Here is an 8,998-nt window from a genome sequence, read left to right as displayed (position 1 = left end):
ATTTCTAGTATGTAGTTTCGAATAGAAAATTTATCATTTTCAAATATGGCTTTTAAAACAATCCTAACAGGTACTGTCACATTATTATTACTATTATTCAAATTTCAGGCACTGTGCTTCCGTATTGTTTATTTGGAGTAGCTTAAATGTGTACCATCCTTGAAAAGACTGCTATGTTTTGTTATCCATTTGAATTAAAGTGCTTAGAATTCAGTATCAACAGCAGCAAATGACCTTTTTAAATACACCTAATTTACTGAGTCCATTAGGTTTATGATAATAAATAAAACCTCTGCAATGCTTCACAATAACAATAATGCCTTTCAAATCATTCTGCAACTTAATGGCCAATTTCAGAGCATTAAATGTTGTTAACAATCAATTTAGTGGATATTATTGTGCTTCAGTTTATAAATATCAAATTATATAGGTCATAGTGTTACCTTTGCAGGCTAGTTGCGGATTTAGATCGATGTCCTGTAGAATAATTGCCAGATATTTTATCATGCTGTCTTTTTGAAAAAGTCTGATTCACAGCAGGTTCCTAGGCTTTTGCACTGACACTTTTCCCTAACTTTTTCCCCCTCAGGATCAGGTAATTAAAAGGGTATTGATGCAAAGGGAAGCCGAGCACCACATGGCTTGGCAAAGTGTTTCCATAAAGTTCTGTCCTGTAGCTGTGGATACAAACTCAAGCTGGTCATGTGCAGAACTCCAGCATGTCGAGCCCACTACCCCTCGGCACAGCCAAATGTTTCAGCAGCTGCCCTTTTGTCCTGTTTCTTAAATAAACAAAGAACAGATACAAATTAATGACCTAAATTTATGGCAAAACACACTGCCCTCCCAGAGCAAATAGCCTTAAAAGAACAGATGCTAAAATAACATTTCTTACCCACAGACCCCCAGAGAAGATACTTCTGTAAGCATGTTAGTTTATATTCTATAGAAACTAATAATTGTAGAAATGTAATCGGATTGTGCAATGTCACGCTTAGGCCGACCTCACAAGCTTCCAGGCATGGGCAGAGGGTACTCATGGTTTGTTCCATGATCCGCTGCCCCATTCTGCTCCAGGATCTTAATCACTTTATTTCACCTTTGCATTTTATTTTGCTTTTTTGCCCTGGCAAGATCAAAAGATCATGTTTCTAGGTTTTTAAATCATATCTAATGATTGGAGTTGATTGACATGGTCGCTACTGTGATTTCTAGAGAACGTCAGGAATGTCAGATCTTCTTTGTTTTGCTCTGAACCGCAGGACAGAATTGTAGAAAATGGGGTTGTTCCTGTGTAACTCCGTTCAAAATTTGCTTTCTGCTTTTTTTTTTTTTTTGTCTTGGTTTTTGTTTTAGCCAACGCCAACTACACATAACAAAAAGCTGATGCAAACTATGAAAACCTCACTGCCGACTTTGCATCCAGAGCCTTAGCAGTAGCTTCATCATTTATGGCACATGGGGATGAAGCTAGGTCACCTCCAGGCAGGTATTATAATGAAAAGGTACAGTATGTTCATTGGCCACACGTTGCACATTCTCTTTATCCCACACTGTACAGTATTTCCCATCTTATTCAATAATTTAATATACATTTTCTTGTCAAGCTTCTTGGCAGCAGGCTATGCAGCTTGCAAGATGGACTGAGAATGCCACAGGTGGGCTGATTAGCGGGTGGCATTTCTGAATTCTAACAAGCTGTTAGCATTATGTCTGTTTGCTTTAGGTACAGATGTGAAATGATTTGACAGTAGATTTCAAAAGTGTATGAGTACATTTTTGTATGTCAAACTATGGAAATACGGGGTTTTAAAAATTTCACACATTGATGGTATGTATTGTATTTATTAATTTCAGAAAGTATATGCCACTGACATGGCATAAAAATGAAAAAGCAGTCTCCGCAATGTATCAAATGAACAGATTGAATAAACATCCCACTCCCAGTTAATCAGAAAGTCTTATCTTGTGCTTCAGAAAAAGTCAGAGGTTGGAATAGCTCAGCCAGAAAATAAGAGTCTTTGGAGAGTTTATTTTAATTGGTTTTATAGTATGATGGTGATTAAAAAAAAAAGACAGAAAGAGAAAAAAAGCAAAAAGGAAAAACAACCACCACTCACAACAAATGGCGAGTGGAATACTTGCCGGTCACGTTAAGTGACATCTGCCCTAGTCTAAAATTTCAAAGGTGATTTCAGGATGGATAAAGGAAAGTCTGCCTAACATACAAAAAGGAAATTTAAAATAGATCTTAGAAATTTAAATTTCGATATATGCCAAAGCTGCACTGCAGACGTGAAAACTGAGAGACACCCAGAAGTTAGAGAGCGAACTGGCTGGCATGTAAAGGTCATTCCAGGTAACTCAGGGGAAGAAGGCCTTTCTTTCTTTCTGAGGATGGCTCAGCCATGAAGCAGGAGGGATTCAAAGGGGTATATTCATGCTTAGGCTTACAGGGACTATTCTGCTTTGAGTCTATGGAAGAAGATTTGGATGGCTCCACGATACTCCAAGGCGTTCTGTTCCCCAGCCCTTGGGGAATCCATCATCACAAAATCCATCCCAGCCTCTACCTGTGGCAGAGCCTTACAGTAGCTGTAGATGGGAGGATGCCTCGGTCCTTCTTTGGGAGGATCTGAGAAGTCCCTCGATCACATCGTAACGGGTCAGAAGGAAGACATGAGGATAGGAGACACCAAAGTTAACCCCACCGCATACCCAGGAAGCTCTGGATGGGTAGCAGGGAGTGTCCTGCATACCCAGGAAGCTCTGGGTGGGCAGCAGGGATCCCCCAAAGGAAGACAGGCAACATGGGTCGGAATTATGTTGCCATCAGGCACAAGAGCTGGGGGCTTCCGGATGGAAGTGGCGGGCAGCGCATCTGCCGTCAGGTGTAAGGAGTCATCACAGCCAGTACCAGGCAACACGAAAGAGGCTCAGATTTTTGTCTCCATCATTACCGTGGACTGTAAGAGGGCGAAATGATCTTAAAGTATAGCTAATACAGCACTCTGAATTTACAGATGAAAACCACGGCTTAGAGAGGGAACGTGTCAAATCACTTTACAAGCAGGGCTGCGTTTGCTCATGGCAGCAGTGCTGTGAGGTGAACGGAGAAAGCATGCTTCCCAGGTGAGTAAATAGACTTGGGGTGAGCCGTTTGCTCACAGTCACACAGCTGGGCTTCTGAAGTCTGAGGCCACTGCTGCAAAGTGGTCACTAAAGTATCTTTTTAATCATCACATTCATCTGACAAAGATGTCCTGGGCATTGACTTTGTGTTGGGCACTGTTCTAGGTACCAAGAATGAGCAGGGAATAACATGGACAAAATTCCTGCCCATGGGGGTTCTGCCTGCTGGTGGGAGAGATCAACAATAAATAAAATGAGTGCCTTTGGCATAATAGTTAAGAAAGTGAAAGGGTTAGGGAGAAAAATGAAGCAGCCGTGGGTGACTCAGAGCGTGGAGGGTTGGGATGACTGTGGTCAGAGAAGACCTCCCTGGAGGGAGAGAAGCAGTGAGCCACTTGGAGATTGATCAGGGACTGGCATTCCAGCCAGAGGGAACCAGTGCAAAGTCCTGAGGCAGGAGCAGCTTTGCAAGATCAAGGCACAGTGAGTCAGTGTGACTGGGACAGCTGAAGCTGGGGGACAGTCGCCGGGCAGCAGTCACAAGGCAGCCTGTGCAAGGTGACGAGTGGGGTGTGGGGCCTTGAGGCCATTGTAGAGACAGAAAGCATTTCCAAAGGTCATCAAGGGGCTCTTGTTAGTGTAAAAATACTATATATATATATATATTTGGTTTTTAATATATGTATTTGGTTTTTAAAAGACAGGGTCTCACTATGTTGCCCAGGCTGGAGCACAGTGCCTATTCACAGTTGCAGCCCCACTGGAGATCAGCACAAGAGTTTTGACCTGCTGCATTTCCCATCTGGGCTGGTTCACCCCTCCTTAGGCAGCCTGTGGTCCCTGCTCCAGTGAGGTCACCATAATGATGCTGAACTTAGGGCAGACTCCCCATGGGCCAACCGCACTTACAGCCCAGAGCTCCTGGCCTCAGGTGATGCTTCTGCCTCAGCCTTCCTGAGTAGCTGGGACTACAGGTGGGGGTCCCTAAATGTCTTATATTCTTTATCCTTTTTTTTGAGGTGGAGTCTCACTCTGTTGCCCAGGCTGGAGTGCAGTGGTGCGATCTCGGCTCACTGCAATCTCCGCCTGCCTGGTTCAAGCGATTCTCCTCCCTCAGTCTCCCACGTAGCTGGAATTACAGGCGTGCACCACCACACCCAGCTAACTTTTGTATTTTTAGTAGAGACAGGGTTTCGCTATGTTGGCCAGGCTGGTCTCGAACTCCTGACTTCAAATGATCCGCCCACCTCAGCCTCCGAAAGTGCTGGGATGACAGGCATGAGCCACCGCGCCCGGCCCTAAATATGCCTTATGTTCTTATGCAGCAGAGCAGTCTACATTCCACGACACAGACTTCCGGGTCAGCTTTTGGAGCCCAACTCATTTAAAAACTGGAGCCTTCCTTTCAATATAAAACAGTCCAGAAATCTCACTGTCCCATCTTGGGGGTCAAGCACTGTCAAGCACTTTACAAACACAATTGGAACATTCTCTTGTTCAAAATGGCCCTTATAACTTTTGTCCTGGTTTTCCTCAGTGTATCATGGTCTCCTCCTCTTGCCATATAAAACTGTCTTTCTTAGACATTTCCAACCATTTCAACAAGCAACAATTAAAAATAATCGTCATCTTAGCTCCTAGATCTTAGAGACTATATTTTCCTATCTTTTTTTTTTAAATTAGTTTTTCTCGTAATAGGCCTTTGGCTAAAAAGATATTCCACAACCTCAAGTATGATAGTTATAAGAAAAGAGGTATAATATGGAACCCATAGGGAAACCCTTCCTGACTCACCTCAACCTGAGGATCTGTGTCGTCACCCCTTAGCCTCAGTGGCTGGTGTATTGCAGGGGCTTCACCAAAATCTGTTGACTGTTAAAAGGCACTTCCATCAGAAAAAGAAAGTGGCCACGTAGCATAGGAAAACTAACTTGAATTTTACCTTCTCAATACTATTGGAATATGGGTTATTTCCTCCTCCATCACACAACCTACTTCCAGAAATAGCACGTGCAGGAGGAAGGTAACTCCACCCTCGGAGGGCTGGCAGCTAACTCCTGGGTCAGCATCTTGGGATGGGGTTTATACACAGACCATCCATCCCCTGGGTGTTATTCCTGGGTGTGGGGCTTTGATGTATCCCACCGTCCAGGGGTGCCTAGGGAGAAGTCAGCGTCCACAAACACGGCCTGACCTCTTGCGTTTGTGCAGCTGCTGCGGGTTGTTTCGGCCTCCCCGCTGCAGGCCAGCTGCCTCACGCTGCCATCGCGTGCCTGCCATCACTCACCCTCGTGGTCAGTCCCCAGGACCCAGCCGGCTTTTCTGAGGACTTGAAGCTTCCTCCTCCCCAACCCCGACCTCACCACACACACTACCTTTAAAAAGCTCAAGTCATAAAATAGATACCAGTCGACATTTATTTTCAGCACAAGGCAAAAAAAAAAAAAAAAGCTCTCCTTTAAAAACCAACACCAATATTTTTACAGAACCTTTCTTTATTGCAACGTGCCATCTCTGTGCAGAAGGAGAATGCTGCTGGTTTGTCATGTGGAGGACCAGCACTTGAGTGATGCGTTTGGAGAGATGATGGATTTGCGCTGATCCATCCGCACTCCCAGCTTGCCTGGTCCCCCCTGTGACCAATGGCAGGCATTTGCGAGACAGCTGGCGGGGTGAGGGGTGCAGGCGGAGGCTGTGCTACGGGCTCACTGGCCTCTGCACGGATCAAAGACTCATTAGCATCCCGCTCTCACCAAATCAACTTATTGGCTCAGACAATCTGTATTGCTTTAAATCTTCAGACAGCTATAAAATGTATTTGTCAACTAAACAGGGTTAGGATTTGGTTTTTGACAGTTCCCATCCGAAGACAAAAAAAGTACACATCCCCAAAGCTGCACCTATTGCACATGTTGTCACTGTAGGGTGGGATTTTTTGGCAAACACAAATTAAAAATTATTTCTCAAAGTACTAAAATAGGACAAATAGGCCACAAAAAAAAAAAAAAAAAAAAGAAGAAGAAGAAAATATCTCATCTGGAAGATCTGGTGGCAAACCACTCAAAATGTTTCTGAATGGCTTATGATGTCTCAAGAATTTTCTGAAAGATTTACAAGATTGTAGCATTTACACTGTGACAGTGCGTGTTTTCTAGTCTGTTGAATATTACTGTTTGTGTGACTCAATGGATGAAGTGAAAGTTGAGGACTGAAAAGACATTTCATTTTAATTTAGATTCTACCACCGACTGACTCCTGACTAATAGCAAGTTATTTTCCTCCTCTGTCTCTTAAATTTGCTAGGCACAAAATGGCAATTGCAAGAGTCCATTATTTGCCCTTTGGGTAAACTGTGGAAAGAAGATTTTTTTGTTTAAATGGAAAGGACTCTTGATGCTATAGGAAGATCTAGCTACAGGATACTGAGAATTGCTTTCCTGCATAAGGGAAAATGTACTGCGGATATGAACGTTACATTTGGGCTATGTACGGTTGCCCATTCTGACGATTCTCTGTGTAGGCTGTCCAGTCTGCTGGAAATAGCAGAGGCACCAATCTTTCTGCTGTTCATTTTCCTTTTAAGAATCCTCCAGTTCCCATTACGTTATTGCCTGGAAGGAAAGGAAAGCAGCAGCCTGTTTTCCAGTTGGAGCCTGGTGCGATCTGTGTGGTTCCTGGGTACTGAGAGAGAGCTCAGGGAAGATGCAGGCTTTGTGACTCTCACCCTCCAGCGAGGCCCCAGAGGCACAGGCACCTCAGTGAAGGCCGCTAGGGCCGTGACCTCCTGTGACTCCGGTCTACCTGTCCAGTTCACTGAGATGTTAACCCTGGGACGACCAGCCTCTTGGTTTGGTGGTGTCAAATATAGACATGGGGGAGGAGAGAAGAAGAGCAGTCATTTAGTTAGAGCCCAAAAGGAAATCATGAAAACTATATAAACATCTTTTTTTTTAAGGCTTAAAAAAGCCTCACGTTGCACGGAGCAAGCAGGAAACAGCTGTTGAGTGGAGGGGGTAATGGATGGCGGGTCTGGTGAGCAGCGCGGAGGAGATGGCTCTGTGGTCCTGGGCAGGGGTGAGGATGCTCCTGCCAGGGGAAGGGAGTGCGTCAGGGCAATCAATCAAGTCAAGAATTTCAACCATCGGGTCTGCAGTGAGGATTTGCTTCCCAGGGGGTTGCATTTTCTCACTCATAATTCTTTTCAGTGGAAAAGAGAAAGGAAAGGGGGAAACTTTAGGATCATTTGTATTATGAGGGTATCAGATTGAATAAAAACGCTTCCCATTTTAAAGCTGACCTGTCATGAAGGACCTTGTGTCTTTTCCTCTTTGCTAAGCATGTAATTAGGCACTTGAATTCCTAATCACAATACAGAGGTTAGATAATGGGTGTACAGTTGTTTATAGGACTTAAGGTTGACTTTAAAATCGGAGATGCCTGCTCTGTGAGTCCTTAGACGTTTTCTGAGCCTGAATGTTTCAGATTTTCCATCCTGGCATTTCTGTCCTCTTATGCAGTGACTCCCCGTATGGTATTTTATGCAAATTAAATAGTAGGTCGACAGGCATATTAACATTTTTAATAGTTTAAATTATTTCACTTGAGTATCTATAAATTAGATTTTTCAGATGTTTTCCTGTGTATTCCTACTTACTCATACAAGGTTAAATTTCTATTAGACTAATAAGGCAGTGCATTTCTTAAATGATGTTAATAAAATACGTGTAAGGAGTTTTAGCTTAAAAATGTGCTTTCACACGCAGATTGAACATGATGCTAGTGTTGGGTTGGGTTTTTTTTTAATCCTATACATTTTACTAAAAATAGTTTACCAAAAGAAAGTCTGCTTTAATTTAATTGTACTTTAAAAAATCCCATCATCTTCCAGGAATTAGTTACAGTATCGTTAGAATTTGAAACTATAGTCAGCAAAAGAAGAACCTCACATAAAAGAAAGTGTATGATCAGGATGCAGAAACCCATGCCCGTACTGGTCTTTTCACCTTCATTTCCTGTGCTGGGTATTTCACGGTTAATGGTGAAAGGAAGGGATTTGGAGACAACCTGGTGCCCTGCTACGTGGGGTGGAGGCTTTGCTGGGCGCCGTGGGATGACAGCATCCTCTTGACGCTGATACAGAGAGAAGGGTCATCGCCATGCCAGGACAGTGACAGCAGGGGCAGCTGCCACCCCCACTGGCACATGCCGCTTGACTCGGTGCCTAAAGATAACAAAACTAGAGCCATAGGAAAACAGAAGAATTCCATTAGCGGGAGCGTTCATCCTCGGGGAGAGGTGAGCAGGCTTCAACCTGCCAAAGTTCCGTGAGTAATGAACGGCCCCGGAAAAAATCCTGGATTCCACCGTTTTCCACTGCCCTACAGGGTTTTCTGTGCCTATCAGCAAGTTTAAATGTATGCTTCTCTGTTGCCTTCCCGACTGCCATGCTGAATTGGCAGCTTGGAAAGCCAAACCTCCTCTTTCCTGGAGGGGCTACTTTCCTCAGTGGGAAGAACGGCGTTAAACATTTAGGATAGAAGATGAGAGAAAACTGGGAAAGGAGTAATGTAAATAAAGGCAGCAGGGATGCAAAGGAAGGAAAGTTTAAAACATTGGAGTTGGGCTAATGCAGAGCAAGAGGGTAGTCAATAGGCATAGAGAATAGTACCTGCCTTCTCCAGTAGAGATCCGGGGTTTATTCCGAAAACATTTTAAAAATGGAAACCCAGAAGTATGAAGCAAAAAAAATCATCCAAGCAGAGAAAAGGGGCACTATGGCAGTGAGACAAAAATCTGAGGTGCACAAAAGTCAGAACGTTCGCGGTGCAGCAGGGAAACACCATAACAGGAAGGGGAACCTGGATAT

At 43.9% G+C, this 8,998-nt stretch overlaps 1 pseudogene; it reads right to left on the bottom strand.

Annotated features, from left to right (window-relative positions):
* Positions 3,829-4,107, bottom strand: RN7SL148P (RNA, 7SL, cytoplasmic 148, pseudogene; annotated as a pseudogene).

This window comes from Homo sapiens, chromosome 1 (genome assembly GCF_000001405.40).
Source record: "Homo sapiens chromosome 1, GRCh38.p14 Primary Assembly".
NCBI lineage: Eukaryota > Metazoa > Chordata > Mammalia > Primates > Hominidae > Homo > Homo sapiens.
The sequence above is the reverse complement of the archived record's forward strand: the minus strand, read 5'-3'. Positions and strand labels throughout refer to the sequence as shown.